The sequence below is a fragment of the Homo sapiens genome, chromosome 11 (assembly GCF_000001405.40).
Source record: "Homo sapiens chromosome 11, GRCh38.p14 Primary Assembly".
NCBI lineage: Eukaryota > Metazoa > Chordata > Mammalia > Primates > Hominidae > Homo > Homo sapiens.
The window spans coordinates 89,756,304-89,784,277 of NC_000011.10; the positions used below are offsets into that span (position 1 = coordinate 89,756,304).

The window sequence follows — 27,974 nt, forward strand, 5'->3', positions numbered from 1 at the left end:
ATAAAAATACAGTTGTGTTTTTGTTGTTATGGGGCTGTTTTCTGAGCCAGGCATTTTTTTCAAATTGCCAGTTAAAGAGTGGCCCCCCGAAATATATGTCTAAGTCCTAACCACTGAAACCTGTGAATATGGACTTTTGAAAATAGGATCTTTGCAGATGTAACTACCTTGGTAATCTCCCAACAAGATTAGTCTGGGTTTAGGGTGGGACCTAAGTCCAATGACTGGTATCCTTAGAGAAAAAATAAAAGGAAGATCTGAGACACATAGACAGCCACGTGGAGACAGAGGCAGAGACAGAGCTCACTAGAGCTATGCTGCCACAAGCCAATGAAAGCCAAGGATTCCCATCACCCACCAGAAGCTAGCAGAGAGGCAGGAGGTGGATTTCCCCTCAGAATTTCCAAAGGGAACCACTCTATCAACATGTTGATTTTAAATGTTAGGCATTCAGAAATGTGAGAGAGCAAATTATTGTTTTATCTGTGATAGTTTATTACAGCAGCCCCAGGAACCTAATATGCAAATGTTTTACATTTATTATTAATATCTTATTTTTCTCCTTAAAACTCTGTGAGCTCATTTTATGCTTGCTGTTCCGTTACATATATGATGAAACTGTGACCAGGCATGGTGACTCATGCCTGTAATCCCAGCACTTTTGGAGCCTAAGATCCAAAAGGAGGGTCGTTTGAACTCAGGAGTTTGAGACAAGCCTGGGCAACAAAGTGAGAGACCCCTGTCAAAAAAAAAACAAAAAACAAAAACAAGAAAGAAAGACAGAAAGAAAGAAAAATAAAGAAAGAAAGAAAAAGAATGAAAGAGAAAGAAAGAAAGAAAGAAAGAAAGAAAGAAAGAAAGAAAGAAAGAAAAAGAAAGGAAGGAAGGAAGGAAGGAAGGAAGGAAGGAAGGAAGGAAGGAAGAAAGAAAGAAAGAAAGAAAGAAAGAAAGAAAGAAAGAAAGAAAGAAAGAAAGAAAGAAAGAAAAGAAACTGGGAAAACTAAGAATTTATATAGGGCCAGGCACAGTGGCTCATGCCTGTAATTTGAACATTTTTGGAGGCTGAAGCAGGAAGATTGCTTGAGTTCAGGAGTTCCAGACCAGCCTGGGCAACATGGAGAGACCCCATGTCTACAAAAACAAAAATTTAGCCAGGCCCACACTTGTAGTGCCTGTAGTCCCAACTACTCTGGAGGCTGAGGTGAGAGGATGGCTTGAGCACAGGAGGTCAAGACTTCAGTGAGCCTTGATTGTATCACTGCACTTCAGACTAGGCAACAGAGTGAGACTCTCTGTCTCAAAAAAATTGACCTTGTCAATGTTGTGTGATTTTCCCTTTTCTGTGTCATAATCCATCTAATTTTTATTTTTCATTTTTTATCACAATCACTTACGAAATACTTAGAAGTTTAAGACATTTTATTCCTGAACCATTTGAGAGTAAGTTTTGATCTTAAACAAAATGTATGAACTCCTGTGACTTTATGAAGCTGTATGAATTGTTAATTTTTTAAATTTTTGTAACATAAAAGATAAATATTTGGCCAGGCGCAGAGCCTCACGCCTGTAATCCCAGCACTTTGGAGGCTGAGGCAGGCAGATCACGAGGTCAAAAGATCAAGACCATCCTGGCTGACATGGTGAAACCCCATCTCTACTAAAAATACAAAAATTAGCTGGGCATGGTGGTGCACCCCTGTAGTCCCAGCTACTCGGGAGGCTGAGGCAGGAGAATCGCTTGAACCTGGGAGGCAGAGGTTGCAGTGAGCCGAGATCACGCCACTGCATTCCAGCCTGGTGACAGAGTGAGACTGCATCTCAAAAAAGGAAAATAAAAATAAAATAAAATAAAATAAACATTTATATAGTAGCTTCACAAAGTCATATGTATGATATTTATTATCAAACTATATTAAATATAATAAAAATATCAAAAAATAACAAGAGGCTTTAAAAAGAGGATTCAAACAACAACATAGATTTGTAAAATAAAAATACCATTACAGAAATAAAAACTTCAGTGGAATATTAGGAAAATAAAAAAGTGCCTTTGAGCACTTAAAAACTTTGCAGACGACCAAGGCTGCATTCAACCTGAAGTTAAAGACAACATGGAACTTTTCATATTCTACAATAAAGGTTTCCAATTAAATTCTAGATATCATGCTATAGATAAAACTGTATAATATCTAGGACTTTCCCTCCAGAAGTTCACAATTTGTATAAACAAGGAACAAAAAATTAAAGGAAATACTCACCTGAATATTCTATAACTGGTCTGAACAGTGCTTGCAGGAAAGTTCATGCATTTGGCTCAGGAGTTCTGTGTCCTCTGGGCTTTCTGGACAACAGATGTTATTTTCTGAGGTTTCCACAGTCTAGCAAATTCCAAATGCCTCTAAAATAATTAGACTTGCTTTTTGGATGCCAGTGTGTTATAGGATCCTTAAAGCCCCTCCCTGATTAGATGTCTGCAGTACAAAGTATCAATAAAAGGATTTACCTTTCAACCGTTGATTAAATTAATTCCATTTCTAATCTCTGTAAATAACCCTCTACAAACACCCTCTAGTGCTGGTTTATATTGTCATTGATTTTTAAATAACACCCAGGTGGAAAATTCATGTCTGATTTTTCTGGGGCAACGAGTCTACTTTCATTTCTGTTCCCACATCTGACAGTATTTTTATATGATATTTGAATATACACCATTCCATTCTTTGATAATTTCTGCCCTTTCTTCACTGAAATCTGGGATCTGCTACCATCTCACCTTCCTCCTGGACATGTAATTCCCTTCAGTACTGATCAATTCCTACCAGCCTTTAGACTTGGAGATCAAAATGCTAATGATGATGGTGGGTGGTTTTGGAAAAAGAGAAGTAGAAGCTCGGTGTCTGGCATCTCTGGCTGATTTAATTTTAAATTTAGGGAAATGAAATAGGTACTGCCTCTCAAAAAAATTCAGATAATTTTGTTTTTGATCAAATTCAAACTAATCAAAAAGATACCTTTATTTAAATGACAACTTATTTGAACAAATTTTAAAATTTTTATTTTTAATCAATATATAAAAATTGCACATATTTTTATAAGGTACAATATAGTATTTTGATACATGTATAAATTGTGCATTGATCAAATTAGGGTTTGACAATATGAGGCTTCATAATTTATAAAACAGGTTTCTGCCTTTCAAACATTTTATATCTAAAGTTACCAACTAGTAATTAACTGAACGTATCAAATAACAAGATATTATTTGAAAAAGCCTAAATTAATAAAATGTTTAAATACATTTTTAGCTTTAAAATACAATAAATATAACTTATTTTGAAAAAATTTTTAAAAATTATAGACAAAGATGGATATAGACAAAAACAAGTATAGAAAAATATTAGAAGGACTAAACTCCTTGGTGATTTTAATGGTAAAAACTTGCTGATATTATTTTTAAAAATTATCATCTTTTTCTTTATATTTTATGGTTGTTAATGAGAGTAAACTTCTACTGAAAAAGAAACCTTTACTCCTGTAAGAATATACTCTCAGACATGTATCTCTTATATTACTCACATAAATAATTATTTAGACATTGTAGTTACAATTAGTTTTATATGGTGGGGTTTAGGAATATCTATAATAATAAGCCCTGTGGATAATTCTGACACATGCTAGAGTTTGAGGATATAAGCTCAAACTGTCACCCATGTCGTGACTTTAAACTCGTCTTCTACTCTACACCACAACACACACATATATGTGCACAAGCAAATATATGCAAATAAAACATTGTGGTGAAATAAAATACCTTTTTGTTTGTTTGTTTTGAGAAAAGCTCTAGTTCTGTTGCCCAGAATGGGATGCAGTGGAACAGTCATGGCTCACTGCAGCTTCAAAATCCAAGGTTCAAGTGATCATCCCACCTCAGCCTCCCAAGTAGCTGCAACCATAGACGTGTGCCATGATGCTGCTAATTTTTTGAAAAATTAGTTTTATAGAAATAGAGTATCTGGGGCCAGACCCAGTGGCTCATGCCTGTAATCCCAGCACTTTGGGAGGCTGAGGCAGGTGGATCACTTGAGGCCTGGAGTTTGAGACCAACCTGGGCAACATGGTGAAACACCATCTCTACTAAAAATATGGAAAAAAAAAAAAGTAGCTGGGCATCTTAGCACGTGCCTTTAATTCCAGCTGCTCAAAAGGCTGAGGCATGAGAATTGCTTGAACCCTGGAGGCAGAGGTTGAAGTGAGCCCAGATCTTGCCACTGCACTCCAGCCTGTGCGACAGAGCAAGACTCCGTCTCAAAAAAAAAAAAAAAAAAAAAGAAAAAGAAAAGAAAAGAAATAGCTTATCTCAATGTTGTCCAGGCTCATCTTGAACTCCTGGATTCAAGCATTCCTCCCGCCCAGCCTCCCAAAGTGCTGAGATTAAAGGCATAAGGCTCTATGCTTGGCCTTGAAAGGAATTTTTATTCAATCTCATCCAGATGTTTTTGCTTTATTCTGGCGCTAGTCCTAAGAAAATTAAGAAGTCCTAAGAAAACTCTTCCCAACAGGTAAAAGATGCATTAGTTAGTTATTATGGCAATATACCCTGCATGAGTAATTTTGGTGATAAGCTTCTGTCTCATCATTTCTAGAAAAATATTTTATTTCTGTCATAACTTCTAATGCTTAGTAAAAAGGCTCTTTCTTTGTGTGTTGATCTTCTTCTTGCAAATTAGGCACTCAGTATTAGCTAGTATTTCATTGTTGAGTACCAGCCCTGTGCCCTGTATACATGAGAATTTTGTTTTCAGGTCTGCTACTTATCATGGTAGCTGATGGCTGTGGTCTTTCTCTGTTCCTTGCTTCACTTCACTCCACAGTATCTCACACAGGACAAAAAGCAGAACAGATATCTTCAGATCCTCTGATGTTAATTAAGGCAACTCTGCTTTTCAAGAAATACAAAATGTGGTTCAAAAGCATCCATCCAGATTGTATACAGAGTCTAGGGACCTCTCCAATATGACCTCATGCTTTAGCAGAATCAGTTCAGCTTCTGGATATTTTTACAAACTCAAGTTAGCTGCAACTGCTCCAGTTCTCATAAATTCACATACAAAATCATTCACTTTCTTTGATTTCAACAATAAGAATCACAAAACAATATCTTGCATACAAGTACACCTCACTGAATTGGGTGGGGTTGGTAAATAAATTAAATTAAATGTGATTATTATCTATTGCTATTCATATCTTTCCCCCTAACCATTTCCAATCTTGGTGCCCATCTCTCATCAGATGGTGCTTGGCCCTTCTCTGTGCAAATGCCTCTTCTTCTATTTCCACAAAGGCAAAATGCTGCTTCCTGTATGTAGGAATACTATCAACTTGTTGTTACTGTTGTCATTACTTCATAGTCACCTACTCAAATGTACAGCTTCAAAACTAAATATGCCAAGGAATTTTACTCAATGAAGACAATTCCATGTGGAATTTTAGTCATGTTTCTTTTTCCACACCTCAGAAAACTGTGGCTTAGAGAAAATGGGAACACATTAGACACATTAGATTTTTTTTTTTTTTTTTGAGGTGGAGTCTCACTCTGTTGCCAGGCTGGAGTGCACTGGCTCAACCTCAGCTCACTGCAACCTCTGCCTCCCGGATTCAAGTGATTCTCCTGCCTCAGCCTCCCGAGTAGCTGGGATTACAGGCTAACGTTTGTGTTTTTAGTAGAGATGGGGTTTCGCTATGTTGGCCAGGCTGGTCTTACTGCTGACCTCAGGTGATCCACTGCTCTCAACCTCTCAAAGTGCTGGGATTACAGGCGTGAGCTGCCACGCCCGGCCTAGATAAGTATTTTTGAGGGATTAGATGGTAATACCTGAAATATTTGGCTAGAGATGTTCTTTATACTGTTTTTACTTCTATCTCTCTGTTACTTGTATCCTATACTGACAGTCAAGGCTCCTTTCGATGGAAATTATTTTAATCTCTTAGCTGTTGCCTCTTTCTGCCTATAGAACATCTTGCACACCACTACCTGACCAGTTTTTATAACTCAGCATTCGAGTGAAGCTCCTATCATAGTCTAAACTCTTCCTTATGGTATCCTTGCTTTTCAATACTAATCTGAGATACTCCTGCTGCTTTTCTTTAGAACAAATAACTCTTACTAGCTTTATTTTGCCACACACAATTTTTTTCTTTTCTTTCTTTCTTTTTCTTTTCTTTTTTTTTTTTTTTTTTTTTTTTTTTTTTTTTTTTGAGACATACTCTTGCTCTGTCACCCAGGCTGGAGTGCAGTGGCGCGATCTCAGCTCACTGCAACCTCTGCCTCCCGGGTTCAAGCAATTCTCCTGCCTCAGCCTCCCGAGTGGCTGGGATTACAGGCATGCACCATGCCCAGCTAATTTTTGTATTTTTAGTAGAGACGGGCTTTCATCATCTTGGTCAGGCTGGTCTCAAACTCCTGACCTCATGAATCGCCCACCTCGGCCTCCCAAAGTGCTGGGATTACAGGCATAAGTGACCATGTCTGGCACTCTCTTTTTTTTTTTGAGATGGAGTCTCACTCTGTCACCCAGGGTGAAGTGCAGTAGCACAATCTCAGCTCACTGCAGCCTGCACCTTCTGGGTTCAAGCAAGTCTCCTGCCTCAGTGTCTCAACTAGCTGGGATTACAGGTGCCCATCACCATGTCTGGATAATTTTTGTAATTTTGGTAGAGACAGGCTTTCACCATGTTGGCCAGGCTTGTCTTAAACTCCTGACCTCAAGTTATCTGCCCGCCTCAGCCTCCCAACATGTAATTTTCTTTTTTTAACTACATGGGTAAACACATCTTAGTTTCTTCCTGGTCTCAAGTTCCTCAGTGATACCTTTATGCTATTGCTTTCCCACAATTTCATCACAGAACATGATCTCTTCTCATTTTGTATACTCTTCCTTTTACAATTTCATCTCATCTCTCTGGTTTGAACTACACACATACTATGTCTCCACATCAGTTTTTAACTTTGAATTTTATTTCTGTGAAGAATTTAACTTGTGTCCCCCAAAATGCGACAAGGCAAATGGATCAATAACCTCTTCAGGAGGTGAGGAGTCCTAGATTTCTGATATAAGTGGCAAGGTTCCCAGTAGTTGCACCTTAATTTTATTTCTCAATTTTAGGAATGTCCCAGATGATAATAATTCTAATAGAAGTTATCAAAACAGAGGAATGTAACAAGTTTTTGGTTTAATGGCTAAGAAAATTTACCAAACTAATACGCACTTTCCCCTCTTCCAAAATTAAAGTAATATCTTAAATGTCTACAGTAGCTAATACCAACTGTATGTACAAGTAAATCTAAGCTAAATATGATTAGCTATAAAATTTTCTTTGAATAAGTGACAAACAAAATTGGTAACAAGGTAATATTGAGAGTGTAATAGCTGTTGCTTATGGAAATTTTTAGTGTCAGTAGAGAAAGCTCAGAAACTTTAGGTGGAAATAAAAAGGAGAATTGGGTTGAAAGCCCAGAAGGCAAAATTCTATAATCTGAGATCAGTTGGAGAGACACAAATCATCAGAAGGTGATAGACTTTTCCTGTTACCTAGGAAAGTGCTGCAAATAAGTGTGTGGGAGGAGAAGAGAGAAAGTTAACTAAGGAGTGTAGGTAGTACAGACAGAAAGAATAAGGAAGCATTGCTAATAAGCATTTTCATAATTTGTATAATCACCTTGAGTTAGTGATCAGTTTAAGAGATTAAAAGACACATAAGATCCTTCTTGCCATATGACCCTTAATTAGCCAGTTGCTGAATGGGGAAACACTGGACACTTCGACAGTGGTGAAAAGCAGAGTTTACTTATTCCTGAATACCCATTCCCAGTTCTAACTAAAAGCAACTCTTCAGTAAAGGATCACCTGATTTTCATTGAACACAAGCTCTTGGGCATTTCTTCTGCTGTGCTGTCATTTAATTTTCTTTCTCTTCTAAATCAAAGAAAAAAAGAAAAAGAAAGAAAAGGCCAGACACCGGTGGCACATGCCTCTAATCCCAGTGCTTTGGGCAGTTGAGGAGGGTGGGTTGCTTGAGGTCAGGAGTTTGAGACCAAAAAAAGAAAAGACCAGACACAGTGGCACATGCCTCTAATCCTAGTGCTTTGGGCAGTTCAGGCGGGAGAGTTGCTTGAGGTCAGGAGTTCGAGACCACCATGGGCAATATAGCGAGACCTTGTCTCTAGCAAAAGAAATAAAAATAAAATAAAATAAAGGAAATAAAAATAAACATTTTAGTGTGTATTCAGCACTTCCGGATACATCTTGCAGTTCAGTGTGCTGTATACCTAAACTTGAAGCAATAGGATGGGAACAGAAGTACTGAGGAAAACACCAGGTCATTTCCTTACATTCAGGTCCTCTTGCTCAGGATGTTTTTTCAGCTTTCTCACTGAACAGGAGATGGCAACAGATTGCACTTTCTTGCACGTACAGAGGAAATCCAGTTGATGAAAGTGTCAATCTTCGTTTTGATTACCTCCTCAATTTGTATAAGTAGGTGAGAAAAACATAGCCTCCCATTTATTTAAAATTGGAATCTTGCTGCTCAACGTTACCAGAGCCTGCAATCTGTGGGATCAGTCGAATATGGGTATTCAGCATGATGTGTTGGAAGAAAATTGCTTCTCGCATGATTGAATGCCTAAGGAGTAACTTTATATATATCTCATATTTGAGTAAAGAAGAAATTGCTTTCTCAGATCCCACTCCTGATGGAAAACTGTTTGCAACAGAGTACTGTGGTACTGGTCAGTTTCTGGTGTATAATTTTATAAACTGACAGAATAGCATGTAAAACAAATTCTTGCCTACACAACTAGAAGACATCTATTGAAGAAAATAGATTGATTGCTGACTTTAACCAGGAACTAGGGCCATTTTTATTGCAATGAACTCAAGACTAGCAACAACCATATATTTGTTCCATTTTCATAAAATTGGAAATAATGCAGTAATAGCTTATTGTTTTGTTTTTTAAAGAAGATATTTTATTATCTTTTACAGAAATTTATGATTGATGTATTTTATCTATAGTTATTTAGACATGTTTACATGCAGCAGATAATTGTTCATAGCATACTGAAAACTAATGCAAGGACTATGCTCTCAGCAATGAGGATATTGTGGAGTTCTTAAAATGGAAATATACCAGTGTAGCTTGGTACTGTATTTTTTATATTGATCTGCTGATACCAGTTATAAGCTCAAAGATTGTATTTTCACAGAGTGGAAACGAGTTTTTTTAGTTATTGTTCAAGGAGGGTGCAACATTAAGTGTTTTGGAATTTGAAGTTAATTTTTTTTTTTTTTTTTTTTTTTTTTTTGAGATGGAGTCTCATCGTGTCACCAGACTGGAGTGCAGTGGCACGATCTCAGCTCACTGCAGCCTCTGCCTCCCAGGTTCACACTTTTCTCCTGCCTCAGCCTCCTGACTAGCTGGGACTCTAGGTTAACAATGAGAATTCACAATCCGTGTGAATGGGAAGCATAAACACATTTTAAAGTAGACAGTCTGCTCATCTGTTTATTTTTCCCTGGATGATGCTGTTTGCTTTATTAAACAGCTACAGAATTCAATGTGGGTTAAACCCTTTTGGTTCCTGCTGAGACATTGCTAGCAACTTCTCAGAGAAGCAATAGGCTGTACCATTTAGCTTATATCTGTAGATGGATATTCTATCTAGGTTTTTATGTGTGTTCTAATGTTCACACAATGATAAAATCGCCTAGTAATGCATTTCTCAGAATGTGTTTTTGTTGCCATAGGATGCACGACTGTTAAATTCCTATTCTGGCCCAAAGATTCAGTGAAAACTTCTGTGTAAAATAAATTTTTCCACCTAAAGCAATGAGGTGTAGAATTTACCGTATTAATAGGAGAGAGCACTCACACTTACAAGTGCATTGTACAAAATCCTGTCTGTCCATGATGTGCAAATTTTGTTCCTGCATGGGATAATTAAGTGGGAATCACACACCCACATATTTCCAGAATTCCATCCAATAAATTCACAAACACTTGAAAATCACAATACATATTTTAGGTAATGGGCCATAAGAGATTATTTTAATTGTAAGAAAATGTACAAAAATGTTTTGCATTTTACATATCTTCTACTTAATAGCAATAAAATGAAGTGACACTAAAGTAGAAAAAAGCCTGAAAAGTATGATTTCTTTGTATCAACAGTGAAGGGCTGGCTCCCCTGTATATGGAGTTCCCGAACAGTCAGGTTTCTTAATCCTTGTCATCTGTGGCCAGTGTAAAAGAAAGACCTGACAGGAAAATTTAAGGAGCCAGCTGGGTAATTCCATATGAGGGAATTCTTGGTGACATTCAAAAAACTCACACTTCCACTTTCAAAATCAAGAAACACACCAACTCGGCCCAGAGGTTTCTCTACATAGTGAGGAAACATTGGGGAGGTGGTCAAGAGACTGAAATGATTATCCACCTTCACACATAAAAGAAGAAATATGTCCTTAGATTTAAACATTGTGCTATTCTTCCTTATCCAGGAGTCCTTACAGACTCCCAGAGCCCAGTCCCAAGAGTTGTCCACATCCAGCTCCCAGTAGTGTTTGCCAGAGGAGAAGACCCAGGCTCCCCATGCAGCAAAATAGTCAGATCTGTCAGAATTCAAAGATCCACGTCTAAACATCAAACTTCTCACATCCTCAAACAGCCCGATATTGTAATTGGTTCCTTCCCAAGTGAAGGAAATTTCCACTGTAGAAAAAAGAGAACGTTCCAGTGAAAAGCAGTTTATAAATTCTTATGTTCAGATAAGAAAGAGATTCTCACTAGAAAACACAGGTCAAGATTACAAAGTAACTTCTGCCTGGAAAAATGTTGGAATCAAAGGGTGTTAGGATATCTGCACAAGTAAATGGCTCAACTTCAATGATCGCAATTTCTATAAACTCAAAAAGCATAAAGGGGAGGAAGGTCATGTCTATGTCTAGTTAGCGACCTTTCATAACAACTGAAAAACTGGAACCTCTTGCACTGCAGCCAAGTCCATAGCAATAAAATTAACCTCCATTGCCTCTTCTCTGTCAGGGCAGAGCAGGAGGCTGGGGACAGGAGATGAGGTGGGGAGCCATTCTTAGACCCAAATAAAAAAGTTATCGCTTTCCAGAAATATTATAATCTGCCACTTAAACTAGAAAATTCATACTTAAAGAGAAAATCTGAATCTGCCTTCTGAAAAGTGCAGATTCCTTGCCAGAATTATCTGACTTTCATGCCAGATTCAGGCACAGACTTCTTTTATCTGCTGGATTTATCATGATCTATCCTGGAGTTCTATCTAAGGCCTCATCAACCACCAAATCACTTTCTTATTGTTCACAGATTCTCAGTGTTTGCATTGTTATATAAGTTACTCATGTATGCTTTAGTTGATTAAAATGCACGTGATTAAAATTATAAATGCTATGAAACTTCACCTGAAATGTATTTAAAAAAACACTGTCACTCAAATCAGTCATTAACTGCACTGAATTTGAAATTGAAACGTCCTGAATTAATTCAGTTCTGTATACTTCATGTAATAATTGTATACATGAAATTGTATCACGATTGAACCATACATGAATGGTTCTACGTCCTAAAAAGCCCTTCTGCGTGTTTTACTTTTCCAAGAAATTTGTTATATGGCTGATTCCACCATCTTTTATTTAGTTTTGTCTGTTTGAGGATAGTGAAACTATAAATATAAATACCTATTCACAGACTATTCTCTTGTTCTAGATGAAAAATCGTTACACTGGGAAGGCTGCCCATAGAAAACCATAACTGAAGGCATTGCATGTTGATCCCACCAAGAGGGCCACACTCACCTCGGAAGTGGTTGAGCCTGTCCACCGGTCCTGTGATGGGCCCTGTAGGGAACTCTGGATTCACAGGCTGGGGCATGTGCAGCAGCACGGACTCACTCCTGCAAGGAAGTAGGTTGAGTTGGTTAAGTTTCTGATGTTTGTGTTTAAGAAATAGATTCCAACAGAAAATGCTTCATTCAAACCACTTCTGATATTGTAATGTACCTCCACAATCCTAGGATGGGTTTGTGGCCCTTAGGGAATCTTTCTAACTCTTCACTCCGTTTCTAACCTACTGCCACTGAAAGATAAATGCCTCTCTCCCTATTTGCCACCAAATAGTTGATCTCTAATTATGATTCTGAATCCTAAAAAGAGGCAATTGTATTCTAGCAACTTCTGCATTGAACTCTTCAAAACAGAAACCCCTGAGTCACTTGGAAAAGTAAGAAAAGTTTAATGTCTGATAAGAGGCATAGGTAACATTCAACATACCACACAAACACATAAGTACACACACTTACACACACAATCACATTGACACATTATGGTGTTAGTAAATTATGTTTTCCCTTTGTTGGAAACAACTTGATGTTTTTCACAGCACGCCTTGTGCTCCAGCTTGCATTGATGGCCATTAACATACCTTGCCACCATGTCTCCCAAATCCTGGAGAGAGAGAGAGAGAGAGAGAGAGAGAAAACGACTCCTTTAGAAAGTTGTTATTCTTGTTGGGTGAGGTGGCTCACACCTGTAATCCCACCACTTTGGGAGGCCAAGGTGGGTGGATCACCTGAGGTCAGGATTTCCAGACTAGCCTGGACAACATGGCAAATCCCCATCCCTACTAAAAAATGCAAAAAAATTAGCCAGGTGTGGTGGTGCATGCTTTTAGTCCCAGCTACTAGGGAGGATGAGGCAGGAGAATAGCTTGAACTAAGGAGGCAGAAGTTGCAGTGAGCTGAGATTGGGCCACTGGACTTCAGCCTGGTTGACAGAAGACTCTGTCTCAAAACAAACAAACAAAGAATCAAAGAAACCAACAAGTTGTTATTCTGCGCATCTGCTCTTTAGGTTTTGAAAACTTTAGAATTACCACATACTATCACTGCAACACTTTTAAAATGTATTCTCATCTCTTACACTTATACCAGTAAGACCTATTGACAGAATCTATTTCTGACAAAGTAATGATGGCAGGGCTTCATCTGAATGCATTTATTCTACCGTTCATGGAGAGGAGTGTCATGCCATGTTAGACACATGAGAACATTCTCTGCCTAGTTACCAGTAGCTCTAGATCTTCCTGCAGTTATGGAAACCCATGCTACAGATTCTGGAGAAGCAATTCAGACCTCGTGCAGACAAGAGTTCTTCGAGAACCACCTTGGCTATGCAAAGACTCTCAGGCCCAGCAACAGTCTGAGCTGGATGAGAGATAGAGCAAAGGTCCCAGGAGCAGCAGAAGCTGTAAGGGAGGGAAAAGGGAAGGAAGAAACCCTAGATTTCAGGATATCCCCTTTACATCTGTGAGAATATCAGCACGCACAAGGCCACCATTCCTTTGTCTGACTCCTCTTGGATCCAGGAGTTTTCCTGGGTTAAGCCATCCAGGGACAGGACACGAGATGCCATTTGGCTCTAGGAGCACAGGAGAGAAACTCAGCAGGAAGAGTGTCTCTATGGGAGGAAAATTCAGTTGAGCACGTTTGTAGGGTCACAGGGCTGGATATGGGTAGAGTCCAGTGTACATGTTTAGAAGCCACAGTTCCCCCAGATCTTCTGATTCTAACAAGTACACAGAGCCAATCAAATGAAGGAGGGGTGGGTCAAGGGAGTTCAGGGACAAGGAGAATGAGGGATGATTAGTTGCAGGAGGATGCCGTCGAGGTCAATAGGCAGACATTCTCCCCTCCTCTGATACTGAGAAACAAGTAATGAAGCTTAAAAGTGTTGCTTGTGCTCTGTGCCAAAGGCAGCAGAGCACTTGTCTCTGGTCTCCATATACACTTGACATATTTACCTTCAGTATTCTGAGTAAGATTTTGATTCATTTCACACGGAATAACACTCACCTACCATGCTTAAATTACCGTACATATTGTGAGACTTTATTGATCATAAATAAGTTACTCTCAACCTTGAGATCTGGCTTCAATTTTCTGTATTCTCATTCTTTCTCCTTTATATCAGAAGCTTCATAATAGACAATGGGGGCAAATATGGTGTGGAGAAATAATCAGTTTATATTTAGATATTTTTAATGTAGTTATCACTTCCTAAAAAGCTAGGAAAAAGCTGAAATAGATGAAATAGCCACGCACCTTCGTTTCTAGCCTCCTTTAGGTATCTGCCCAAATATATTCTATACTATGTCTTTTCTGACCATAGTATTAAAAATTCAATTTTGGGCCAGGCACGGTGGCTCACGCCTGTAATCCCAGCACTTTGGGAGGTCGAGGTGGGCGGATCACGACGTCAGGAGATTGAGACCATCCTGGCTAACACGGTGAAACCCTGTCTCTACTAATAATACAAAAAAAAAAAAATTAGCTGGGCGTGGTGGCGAGCGCCTGTAGTCCCAGCTACTTGGGAGGCTGAGGCAGGAGAATGGCGTGAACCCGGGAGGCGGAGCTTGCAGTGAGCCAAGATTGCGCCACTGCACTCCAGCCTGGGTGACAGAGCGAGACTCTGTCTCAAAAACAAAAACAAAACAAAACAAAAATCAATTTTTGTCTATGATTCTTTATTTTCCTTTCCTGCTGTATTTTTCTCTAAAGCACTTATCACAATGCGTCACTCTATCAATTTTTTTTTTCTTTTCGAAACAGGGTCTTGTTCTGTCATCCAGGCTTAAGCGTGGTGCAATACCAGCTCAATGCAACCTTGACTTCCCAGGTTCAAGCAATCCTCTCACCTAAGCCAGTGTCTGAGAATACAGGGACATGCCACAACCCAAGCTAATTTTGTTTCTTTTCTTAGAGAAAAGAGCTCTCACTTTGTTGGTGAGGCTGGTCTTGAACTGCTAAGCACAAGTGATCCTCCTACTTCAGAATCCTGAAGTGCTGGTATTACAGGCCACAGCCACTGTGCCAGCTTCACTTTTTCAATGTTGTATTTTGACTTGTTGTCTTGTGTTTCTCACCCTGCAACCTCATTAGCTCTTTAGGTGCAAGAAAATCCGTCTCATTTGTTCATTTCTGCATTGGCTTAGAATGTTTCTTAAGACACAGTAGGCACTTGATATTTTGAAGAAAAAAGTATTGTAAGTACTATCCTTAAGGATATCACCTTTAAAGAATCAAAATGACTTATCAATAATTAAGCTCATGATATCTCTTTCTTTCACACAGAGCCAATTTCTTTCTTAGTGCTTAGGAGTGTCTTTAATATTATTTGTTTTACTTTTCCATCAGGAAATCTTTACTTCTTTCAGAATGTATATGTAATTTCATTTCATCTCTTCTCTTCATAGTATTCATTTTATGTTTGAATCAGTAAATGATCCATACAGATTCTTCAGCCATGCATGTAGGTCCCATCTTGAACTACCCTATGCTACCTTTTCTGCTACATCTCTAAGCACTGCCTCTCTCATTATGGAAGTGTTAATCACATATGTGAATTATGTGGAAATCCAATAGTACAATGGTTTATCTAGTATATAGTTTCCAGCACCCCCGCCCCAATTTACCTGCCTGAAATTCCAAGAAATTTCCTATTAAATTTTTTTATGTAATGTAGTTTAATTTTATTTAGAAAATCGGAGAATATAGTTTTAAAGCTTTTGACCTATATTTACTGTTGACCCTTGAATAACACTGGTTGGAACTCTGTGAGTCACTTATAATTGGAGTTTCTTCTGCTTCTGACACCCCTGGGACAGCAAGACCAACCCCTCCTCTTTCTCCTCCTTCTCTGATTACTCAACATGAAAATGATGAGGATGAAAACCCTTATAATGATCCACTTCCACTAATTATATTTAGTTTTCCATTAATGAATATTAAATATATTTTCTTTTTATTTTCTTAATATTTTCTTTCCTTTAGCTAACTTTATTGTAAAAATACTGTATACACATAACATATAAAATATGCGTTAATCAACTGTGAATATTATCATTAAGGCTTCTAGTCAACAGTAGGCTATTGATAGCTAAGTTTTGAGGAAGACAAACATTATATGCTGATTTCTGACTACATGGGATCTTGACACCCCAACCACCATGGTGTTCAAGGGTCAACTCTAGGTTTATTAAATATTATTCAAATAATCTGAGAATCTCTTTGTGAACATTCAAAGACTTTATCTTTCTGTGAAACCCTGTGTTTATCTTATGCACTAATTATGGCATTCCATAGTGATAGTGTATTTTACCATGCTTATTGATATTTTATATCATTTCCCAGGAAATAAAATTTTTTTAGCTGAATATTTTGATATTAGCAAGAAATCCTAATAAGAAGTTTGCTTCCATGTTGAAATGATTAGATGGAACCCTTGTGCTATTGTTCTGCTGCTCACAGTAGCATAACAATTGACACCTTGGTTGTGCCCATTGCTCTATCTGGTACACTGAAGCATACGCTCTCCATGGATTTCTGATAATATTGTGAATTCTATTAATCTTTTTGAAAGTAATAGCTATATATTGCTAAAGTGTCCAAGAACTGTCACAAAGTTCTATATTTTGTCATAGTATTTTCATTTCTTGAATTATTTCTTAAGAAAAAGTCTCCAATTTGGAACAGAAAAACTGGTTTGAAAAAGACTTGAAGTCTAAAATGATAATAGCAGATCACCTGAGGTCAGGAGTTCGAGTCCAGCCTGGCCAACTCAGTGAAACCTTATCTCTACTAAAAATACCAAAATTAGCCAGTCATGGTGGCAGACACCTGTAATCCCAGCTACTCGGGAGGCTGAGGCAGGAGAATCACTTGAACCTCGGAGGCAGAGGTTGCAGTGAGCTGAGATCATGCCATTGCACTCCAGCCTGGGTGACAGAGGGAGACTGCGTCTCAAAAAAAAAGTAATAATAATTATTATTATTGTGTAAATAATTATTATATAATTTTTAAAATATGAATACATAACATTGTTATAGTTATGTACATATATATGTAAAGTATCACTTTTAAAATTATTCAAAAAGGTGGATGAATAAAAAATAGATTTTAGTTTCATACAAAACAATCATTAGGAAATAGTCATAAAATAGACTATAAGACATAAAATAGCCATAAAATAGACTATAAGAAAATCAGGCTGATACAACTAATTCTATCAACCATTATATATACAATTATGTGAAACACAATTGAGTTCCTTGCTATACTTTTTTAAACAACAGAGTTACACAGCACGGATGTGTTGGTAATCCCAGTTAATGTTTTATCTTTGAACATATTCAGACAAATAACGGCTAGGCACATAAGCAACTATAATTTTAAAACAGAGTGAGAAACAAAAATTTAAAGTTAGCATGTGGCCCGGTGCAGTGGCTCACGCTTGTAATCCCAGCACTTTGGGAGGCCGAGGTGGGCAGATCACCTGAAGTGAGGAGTTCGAGACCAGCTTAAGCAACATGGTGAAACCCTGTCTCTAGTAAAAATACAAACTTAGCTGGGCTTAGTGGCAGGTGCCTGTAATCCCAGCTACTTGGGAGCTGGGGCAGGAGAATCACTTGAACTGGAGATGCAGAGGTTGCAGTGAGCTAAGACCAAGCCCTGGCACTCCAGCCTGGGCGACAGAGCAAGATACCGTCTCAAAAGAAAAAAAAAGTTAGCAAGTGATAATATTTAATGAAATAATTGTTGTATTTAAAATATTTCTTTTTTTTTTTTCTTTTGAGACAGAGTCTCGCTCTGTCACCCAGGCTGGAGTGCAGTGGTGCTATCTCGGCTCAGTGTAACCTCTGCCTCCCAGGTTCAAGTGATTCTCATGCCTCAGCCTCCCAAGTAGCTAGGATTACAAGTGCCTGCCACCGAACTCGGCTAATTTTTTGTATTTTTAGTACAGATGGAGTTTCACTATCTTGGCCAGGCTGGTCTTGAACTCCTGACCTCGTGATCCACCCTCGTGGGCCTCCCACAGTGCTGGGATTACAGGCATGAGCCACCTTCCTTGCCCAGCTACTTAAAATATTGCTTTGAATAAACTGTGTTAAGTCAACTTTCTTGCGTCTCATTCCAAACTTGTCTGTTGAGCTTTGAGCCCTCAAGTCTGGTTTTCAATACTTTATAAACCTAATCAGCCAATTTATCCCTTTCTATGCAATCCAATCCATCTCAGGAAGTGGGTGTGGTCTTCCGTGGGCCCATACACTTTAAAAGGATGCTTGTCCAGAGATTTCTCCCTCCTTCAGTGAGGACCCACTGGATTTGTGACTGCTGGGCTTTGAAGAGCCAGGAGTGACTTCTAATCTGGATATCTACAGAGCTTCTAGACTGAGACCATTCATAGTAGCCTTGTGAGTATAAAATTTGCAGTAAACCCATCATGCTCACTTTTTCTCTTCAAAATACTTTAAATTTACCTGGCAGCATGCTTGGGTCTTTTCTAAGCAAACAAGTAACTGTCTTAGTGATTTTACAGAAAATCAATATAAAGTATCTTCAATTTGTAAGGTATGGTTTGTGTTCCCTTGCTATTTGATTCCTTTGATGTGACTGTTTTCTGTATTGTTAGATTTTTCTTAAGTGTGAAAAGATATATTTCCATAGTTTCATGCAATGATAGAACCCATAAAATACCTAAAATGTTCACTAGAATGTGGGCATGTAGTAATGGTTGTAACGTACGCCAAAGGAAATGTTAAAAATGTTGAATTACTTTGAAAATTCTTGTTGCAAAGGTCTTATTTGCTGTCTCTTCAAAATTTGCAGTTTGCAGACTAGATGTGAAAGCTGTTGAAAATAGATTTAATCGGCTGGGCATGATGGCTTATGTTTGCAGCCTAGCACTTTGAGAGGCCAAGGCAGGCAGATCGCTTGAGGTCTAGAGTTAGACACCAGCCTGGCCAACATGGTGAAACCCGGTCTCTACTAAAAATACAAAAAAATCATCCTGGCGTGGTGGTGGGTGCCTGTAATACCAGCTACTTGGGAGGCCTCGGCAGGAGAGTTGCTCGAACCTGGGAGGCTGAGGTTGCAGTAAGCTGAAATCGTGCCACTGCACTCCAGCCTGAAGTCAGAGCAAGACTGCATCTCAACAACAACAACAACCAAAAAAAAAAAAAAGATAGAAAGAAAGAAAATAGATCAATAGACCTAACCAACTGGCAAGGGCTTCCCAGAGGCTACAACTTCCAAGTCACTAAGGGGAAAGGTGAATTGGTGGCCATGCTTCCATTAACTGTATTTCTGGATTTTCTAGTGTAGAGTGGAAAACCTAATACATATCTTCACTTTTTTTGTTGTTATTTTAGAAGATAATTAACAGTTGATTAATTCTTGTTAATTATTATAGTTGAAATATTGGCTATTTCAGAATGTGAAAGTGTTCTCTCTAATCATCTGAATTGGCAATGGGAAAAAACTTTCCTAAATTAAAAATAATAGATATTAATTACATTTAATGTATTGAAAGGAAGAGTTTTGATATTAAAGTTAAAAGGACAAATTTAATGGTTGATAATTTTAGGAGTTGACGGTCCACTCTGATTACTCAATCTTAGATAAAAGCTACTTTATTTATAATTGTCTGAGCAAACTTCACAGGTGAGTTTGGAGGCAGGGAGTATAGAATAATACCATAGATACTAAGTGTCTTTCATATATTATCATCATGGAATTATTGAGAGAGATAGAATGACAGAGACAGGATGACATTCAGAATGTGCTTCTTCATCAATTAGCTTATATAAGTGACTCAGAAATCATCCCAGCTTTTACCCTCCGCCCAGGCTTTAAGCTTGTCTAGGTAACTGGGAATGACTGAGAGCACGGCTTGTTTAACAAAAATGCCATGAGGACTCTCGTCTCATTTTATCATTTGAATCATGGTTGTTCATATCCATGTTTCATACCCGTGGATTCAACTAATCTCAGATAAAAAAATATTTACAGGAAGAAAAAAGCAGGTATACTGAACATGTACTTTTTTTTGAGACAGAGTCTCACTCTATTACCCATGCTGGAGTGCAGTGGCACGATCTCAGCTCAGTGCAACCTCCACCTCCTGGGCTCAAGTGATTATCCTGCCTCAGCCTCCCAAATAGCTGGGACTACAGGCACGTGCCACCACGCCCTGCTAATTTTTTGTATTTTTAGTAGAAACGAGATTTCACCGTATTAGCCAGGATGATCTTGATCTCCTGACCTCATGATCCGCCTGCCTCGGCCTCCCGAAGTGCTGGAATTACAGGCATGAGTGAACGCACTCTGCCAAACTTGTACATATTTTTAATCTTCTTGCTGTTCCTAAACAGTGTGGCATTACAAGTATTTATACAACATTTACATTGTATTAGGCATTCAAAGTAATCTAGAGATAAAGTATTCAGGAGGATAGGTTTACGTTACATGCAAATCCCACACCGTTTACTAATAAGAGACTTGAACATCTTAGGATCTTGGTATGTCAGGGAGTCCTGAACCAAATCTTCAATGGCTATTGAGCGAAAACTTTATAAATCCAGCATGTTTGCATTTACTATGTCTCAGTTTGTACTGGAGCTAACTTATTCGACATGTTGGACAGAGCTCAAGTAGACAAAGAAAATTGTCCACCGGCCTTTTTTTCCTTTTCATCGGGGCAAATAAAAATAAGAGAAAGAAATTCTCACTTTTTTTTTTTTAATTTTCAGAAACATGGATTCTGATGCCCTGCGAGTCTTCCAGAATGAGCTCATTTGCTGCATTTGCGTGAACTACTTCATAGACCGGTCACCATTGACTGTGGGCACAGCTTTTGCAGGCCCTGCCTCTGCCTCTGCTCAGAAGAAGGCAGAGCACCAATGCGCTGCCCTTCGTGCAGAAAAACCTCAGAGAAGCCCAACTTCAACACCAATGTGGTACTCAAAAAGCTGTCTTCCCTAGCCAGACAGACCAGACCTCAGAACATCAACAGCTCAGACAATATCTGTGTGCTCCATGCGGAGACTAAGGAGCTCTTCTGTGAGGCTGACAAGAGATTGCTCTGTGGGCCCTGCTCTGAGTCACCAGAGCACATGGCTCACAGCCACACCCAATAGGATGGGCTGCTGAGGAATGCAGGGTACGTGATGCCTCTAAGGCAGTTTGAATTATACAGAATCCCAAATAAGAATGATGAGGGCCTGTGATAATGATGGTGATGAGAATGCAGATGATGGAGGTGGTGATTATTCCATGTCAATCATAACACATGAATGTGTCCTTTCAATGTTGCTGGCTAATTTGGCACTCTAATCATAGCTGTGTTGAGACTTCGCTAAAGGAGGTTTCCTTAAAAACATTGTTCAAACATATAGAATGGAGCTGTGGAGCTGGTGGCCAGCACCAAGAACACTTTTCAAAGTCAGGTTATGTAAAAGCCAGTTTCTCAGAAAATTGATGATATTATCTGAAGGGTCCCTTAAAACTCTCTATTATGTTTCTATCACTTTTCACATCCAAATTATTAGAATCATATTCGTTTAACTTGGAAAAATCTGACCGCTTCACTCTAACTTAATTTATGTTTCTTTCAATTACAGCCTTTTTTTTTATTGATAAGGGGATGAAATCTACTGTCTTCATCATTGCTAAGCTTCTTGCTTCTTTTGCAGGAGAAACTTATAAAGGAAATGGACTATTTATGGAAAATCAATCAAGAGACACGAAACAATCTAAATCAGGAAACTAGCAAATTTTGTTCATTAGTGGTAAGAATGAAAATGTTTCCTTTGTTTTTACGCAAATAAACACAAAGTTGGCTTATACTTTTTAGCTAAATTCAAACTACCAGTTAAAAGATAGTGATTTCATCTCAAGAAAATGTAGTGATTTCAATTGATATAACAGGAATTGCAAACAGAGAAGCCCACACAAGCTAGCCAAATTAATTCTAGTGTATTGGATAAACGGCATGATGTGTATTCTAGTTCAAATTTGAAGGTTGGCATAAACCTTTTCAGACACTGCAGATGAGACAACATTTCACTAAGATTGGGTGTGAGGAAGATGAAAGAAATAGAATAGTATATAGAGTAAAAATATAGTAAAAGTAAAAAAAAACTGCATAATATGGTGTATGGCTAAATGTTTTTTAACATGTAGGCGAAGCAGACATGGAAAAATCCTAAAAGAGAGATTAATAGAGGAAACAATTGACCCAGTAAGAACTGTGAAGAAGCGTCACAGTGACGGAAACCAGGAGTCTTTATATAGGTTTGATTTAAAAAGGGAGAGAGAATAGGAACATTGAAAAAGATGGACAGAAAAAGATAGCAAATATTCAAGACTCTTTGCAAGAGTGAGGCAGAAAGTTTATAAATTGCTTAATTACACGCTGCATATAATTATTTGAAGTTTTCTATTGAGAGTGAGAATATGTAATCCTTTTAACCAAACATCTCTGCAGGACTATGTGTCATTAAGGAAGAGGATAATCACTATTCAGTATCAAAAGATGCATCTATTTCTCAATGAGGAGGAGCAACTGCATCTGCAGGCACTGGAAAGAGAAGCAAAAGAGCTTTTCCAACAACTACAAGACAGTCAAGTGAGAATGACCCAACATTTAGAAAGGATGAAAGACATGTACAGAGAGCTGTGGGAGACATGCCACATGCCTGACGTGGAGCTGCTCCAGGTGAGGAGGGAGGGTCCATCCTCAGAGACAGGAAGCCTTTGCTGAACAACGCTGCCAGGACATGCAAATATCACCTGCGTATGTCACTGCTCTAAGCTAAGTGACACATGCTGTCTGACTTCCACCATTACATTTTTCCAGTCATTTATTACTGCATACTTTAGTAATCTTTGGGAAATTTTTGCCAATTTAGTAGATAACATATAACACAGTTCTCTTCAATATAATTTGGAGTACTATCCACAAGAGAGATCATCTAAGATCATTAGAACTCTAGGCCAGGGGAAGGTTAGTAATATCCATGTATATGCCCTAGTTCCTCCTCACTCTCTAATGTCCCACACAGCAGTGATTTGCTGAAGACATTGAGGGGTTTCCCCTTGCCTGGGCAAGGTTTGTCAAAGCTGCTCATCAATGTCCATGTACTCTGTTTCTCATATGGTTCTCTGTTTTAATAGTTGTCATGTGTGGTCAGAGCTTTCCTTGGAAATAAGGTTAGGAAATTAATGACACTGGAAACCTAGATATCTTTGCTTTACTCCATCTTCTCTTGCTGAGCTCCTTTCTTCTTAATGCCCACTGATGAAGCTTTTCATTGTTCAGTTGAGGTTCTGTTATTAACATAGCCTTGAATGATTCCTTAGAGGGAAATAAAAAGATATACATTATTAAAACACTAAAACAGAAAGAAACAAGAGTATGAGAAAAGATGCAGAAGGAAAAATCTCTCATAATTAACATTATATATATATTTTTTTGCAGCATGTGGGAAATGTATCGGCAAGGTGAGTTTACACTAAAAAAAAATGCTATTTCTGAAAAATTTGTTCTCTTGTGAATGAAGGGGATGTATACATTTTGAGGTACTGACATCATTCTCAGTGCCTATTTCCGATTTTGTTTCAAAAGAGGGCCTGAGGTCTTCTTCTCTTTGGTCTGGAAAGTTTCCATCTTACAATTTGTATGAATTAAAATATACATAGAAACAATTTGCCATTCGGAAGTTTGGTTTCCCAATCCATCCATCCTGACCAACCATACCCCACAGATCTTAATACAAAATTACTCTGAGGAATCATAGAGGTGTCTTCTACTCTAGAGGGGTGGGAGGTTAAAAAAAAAAAAAAAGACAGAGGGAGGAGAGAGATTCCCTAAGGAAGGGCTGAGGAGGGATATTTTGCTCCTAAAAGCATCAATGACCCGGGCCTCCTCCATCACCATACACCCAGTTCTAGGAAAGACCTCAGGAAAATGGTTACCTCGGGCCCCTCAGCAGCAAGGTTCTCAGGCTGGAATTAGACTCCTTTGTTTTGCACAAAAGATTAAAGACTTTTGCCTCAGTGAACATTCTCTGTTAGACACTGACTAGCATTAGTGACAACTGCAGGCTGAGGTCCCAAAGGTTTTTGTCTGAGTTTTCTGCTCTCTGAAATATTTCCAGGATTTCTGCATACCCTCAAGGGGTGTGATGGGCAGAGGGAGGCAATGACTTTTAATGACTTTAGAAGTTGTATAATGTCTGAGAATAACATATCTGGGGAAACTGGGTTTTTATGCAAGTAAAATTTAGAAAAAGTAACATCCTTATTGCCCCTAGAGTGTGGAATAAAGTGTATACCCAGTTAACCAAAACTGGCAGAATTCTGAGGAAACATCTTATATGAAAATGTGATATCTTTGTATGACTGTGTGATTAGCTCTGGGCCTGGAAATATAACTGAGGCCATTTTTTTTGCAGGACTGATTTGGCACAGATGCAAAAGCCCCAGCCAGTGAACCCAGAGCTCACTTCATGGTGCATAACTGGAGTCCTAGACATGCTCAACAACTTCAGAGGTAAGAGCCAGCTGCTTGGCATTCCAGCCTCAAATTATTTCCTTATTGGTTCCCTTGGTTGAGGCTTTTCCCATTTAAGTTTTGTTAGTTTTGACATGTAGGTAATACATAGTTTTCCGAAACATGTGCATCTTCCCTACCTGCATAGTAATATTACAATGATCAAAACTCAATTTCCTGACTTACAGTTTGACGAAAATGTAAAGCAAGATACATACTTTATCTGCAGAATAAGAGGACAAAGAATATTCAGGTCATGTAGTTATGAAGACACTAGTTCTCATGGCGGCATCGGTATTTCGTGTTTATTCAATTTAATTCAATTTTGAAGGCTTAGATTTGGCATAATGGTTTTTAATTATTTCTATTCTATGTGCATTTACATGCATTCTATAAGTAATTTTTATTATTTACAAAATCAGAACATTTTGATCAACAAAGAAAATGACTAAAATATCCATAATCCAGACAATTCTAATGCCATCAGAAACATCTCGTAACAAGCAGAAGGTGAGGGATCTGTGAACATGACCTAACCATGCTAGGCCCATTCTAGAGAGCAGATCTAGGTAGCAGAGAGCAGGAACCCAGAGTAGATTGAATCAGGGGCTAAACAGATAATGTAAAGCCAGAATATTCTTTTCAGAAACTTATAAACTTTACATGTGTTAATTTCTACCAAATTTTTGATGTTTGAGACTATAGCAGGCATAACTTACATTCCAATAAATACTCACATCACAGCAAAGTGATGTCTACCTGTTGATGATCTTAAAGACAAATAATACAAGAAGATTTTTCTATTGAAGAAAAAAATACATTTTAGATATGTTCTGAAACAAACTGTGCAGAGATAGACATTAAATCATTACTTTGCCCAGTGATATGGTCACATTTTTTCTCTATTATTAAAAGAATAATACATAATTGTATATGCTGTAGAGGTGTAATAACATTTCATCTTCATGGATGCATGGGGCTGAACTCTCTTGGCTTCCTTTTTTCTGTATTTTCTTGGAAGAAGAGCAAATGAAGTGAATAATTGGGCCACAGAGCCTCTGTCCCTCATAACACTCACTAATATAATATTTTTTTCCTTGTCAGTGGATAATGCTCTGAGTACGGAAATGACTCCTTGCTATATAAGCCTTTCTGAGGATGTGAGATATGTGATATTTGGAGATGACCATCTCAGTGCTCCCACGGATCCCCAGGGAGTGGACAGCTTTGCTGTGTGGGGAGCACAAGCATTCACCTCCGGCAAGCATTACTGGGAGGTGGATGTGACCCTCTCCTCCAACTGGATTCTGGGAGTCTGTCGAGATTCCAGAACAGCAGATACCAATATCGTTATTGATTCTGATGAAAGATTTTTTTTAATTTCCTCAAAGAGGAGCAATCACTATAGTCTCTCCACCAACTCTCCACCTTTAATTCAGTATGTGCAAAGGCCTCTGGGTCGGGTTGGGGTGTTTCTGGATTATGATAATGGATCTGTGAGTTTTTTTGATGTTTCTAAAGGTTCTCTTATCTATGGTTTTCCTCCTTCCTCCTTCTCGTCCCCTCTGAGGCCTTTCTTTTGCTTTGGTTGTACATGAAAAGTTGGTTTCATGATGATTTATTGTGACCTCCCATATATAAGGCAAATACTGTCCTAAGACACTATGTGTGAGAGCCTGTGAGCGCACTGTAACTTCATGGAATGTAATTACTTTATGGTTATAAATGGGATAACCACCTTGAATGTATACATTCATTAATTAAGTTATTTTAATTAATAAATTATTGTGGAATCTTTACTAGAACATCAATAATGGCTTTTTTTGTACAAGTTTTTTGAGATTCATTCACTTACTGTGAAAGTCATGTTCTAATGTATTTAATTCAGAGATTGTTAGTATATCACACTTGAGCAGCCATCAGAGCTCTCTTCTGCCTGGGCACTTTTATCACTTCCAGAAGAATCCCAATACCCCTTAACATTTATTCTGCATTCACCCTCCCCCATTCCTTCAGAACACTTAATCTACTTTTTATGTTTTTGCATTCGGGTAAATAAAATCATACAACATAAGTTCTTTTTTTAATCTGATTTATTTTTCAGAGAGTATGTTTTCAGTTTGTGCACACTGTAAACCATTTGTCTTACTTGTATATTTGAACCAGGCTGGGGTAGAAAAATGAAGTGGTGGATATCTCATCTTACAAAGAATAAAGAAGTGTGCTTATTTTCTTTCTAAGTCTGACCAAGTTAAGTTGACCTCACAGACTTTATTATTTCTCAACATCCTAGTTATTAATCGCATTTCAGCTCATACAAAAGTTTTTCAGTGCTGGGTTGCTCTGCTATTACATCTTCTCAAGTATATTATATCAGATTATAACATTCAGAAAACTCTTATACTTATTACTACCAGATTGAAAAGTCCAAGGGGGCAATGGCAGTATTTGTCTTCTTTGCTAATATATTACCATTATCGAATGCGATTTTTAGAATAGATTATACAATAAATAAGATGAATAAATGGATTAAGTAGAGGAGTTAGTATGTATAAATATTATTCTAACATTGAGAAACTTTTCCAAAATGTACGTAACAAAATAGGATAGAACATACTAATGAATATCTATCAAAAGATAAGACATAAATTGATTTTCAGATTGATATCAAAGATAATACTATTATGTTAGGGTTTAAAATAATTGTAGCATAATTTTTATAGGGTTGATTTCAATTGTCTTAGGTTTTTTAATATAAACCTTTGAAAGATGAAGGTTCCTATATAAGATGATGGGGTAGAGGAGCAGGACTTAGAATAGTGGAGACTGGCCTTAAACTGACATATAAATTTAATTACTTGCTAAGCATAAAGTGGTATAAACCTTCCTATGCAGTAGAAAGAACAAAATTAGTTTACACTTTAAATAAGAATCCAGATGATAGAGAATGGAAAATTCTATAATAGAATGTAATAGCTACATCTCCTAGGGCACCGGCTTACCTGCTCTAACAAAGACCACAAATTTGAAATGATTCAGAAGATGCATTTCTCTCACATGTTTGTACCAATATAGGAGTTGGTCAAGAAGAAAACTGACATCTTCAACCAGTGAATTTTACCTCTGTGTGCAGGAAACTCCCATTTATTGCCATGTCCCATGCAGCAGGAAAGCCGGGAGAAAAGTAGGAGGGACAAGAGTATTTGGCTTTAAGGAAATCACCTGGTGTTTTTCACAATGCATTTATTCCCATCCTATAGGTTCAAAATTAGGCAGATGGCACACCAAGTTGTAAGATATATCTGGGAATGCTGTTTACACTCAAAACCATATTTATTCTTAACATTTGATTCAGAAAACAAATTAAATGACTGGCACAACTGAAAATAACCCAAGAGATTTGTTCAATGAAACAAAGCTGAACCTCAACCAAATAGATAAGCTGCTGCCTAAGGTTAGCACCATTTCTTAGTATTCAAGAGTGAGTAAACCCTGCTT

At 38.0% G+C, this 27,974-nt stretch overlaps 1 protein-coding gene and 1 pseudogene across 1 annotated transcript in view; one reads left to right on the forward strand and one right to left on the reverse strand.

Annotated features, from left to right (window-relative positions):
- Window positions 1-10,147: 10,147 nt before the first annotated feature.
- TRIM49 (tripartite motif containing 49) overlaps window positions 10,148-27,974 on the reverse strand; it is a 42,125-nt gene continuing 24,298 nt past the window's right edge. The window contains exons 4-6 of the mRNA XM_024448617.2: window positions 12,511-12,533; window positions 11,886-11,983; window positions 10,148-10,770 (exon numbers count right to left, since the gene is read on the reverse strand). Coding sequence (XP_024304385.1) covers window positions 10,289-10,770; window positions 11,886-11,983; window positions 12,511-12,533 — 603 coding nt within the window. The 3' untranslated portion in view covers window positions 10,148-10,288. The remainder of the gene's footprint in view (window positions 10,771-11,885; window positions 11,984-12,510; window positions 12,534-27,974) is intronic.
- TRIM64DP (tripartite motif containing 64D, pseudogene) lies at window positions 20,678-26,108 on the forward strand (annotated as a pseudogene).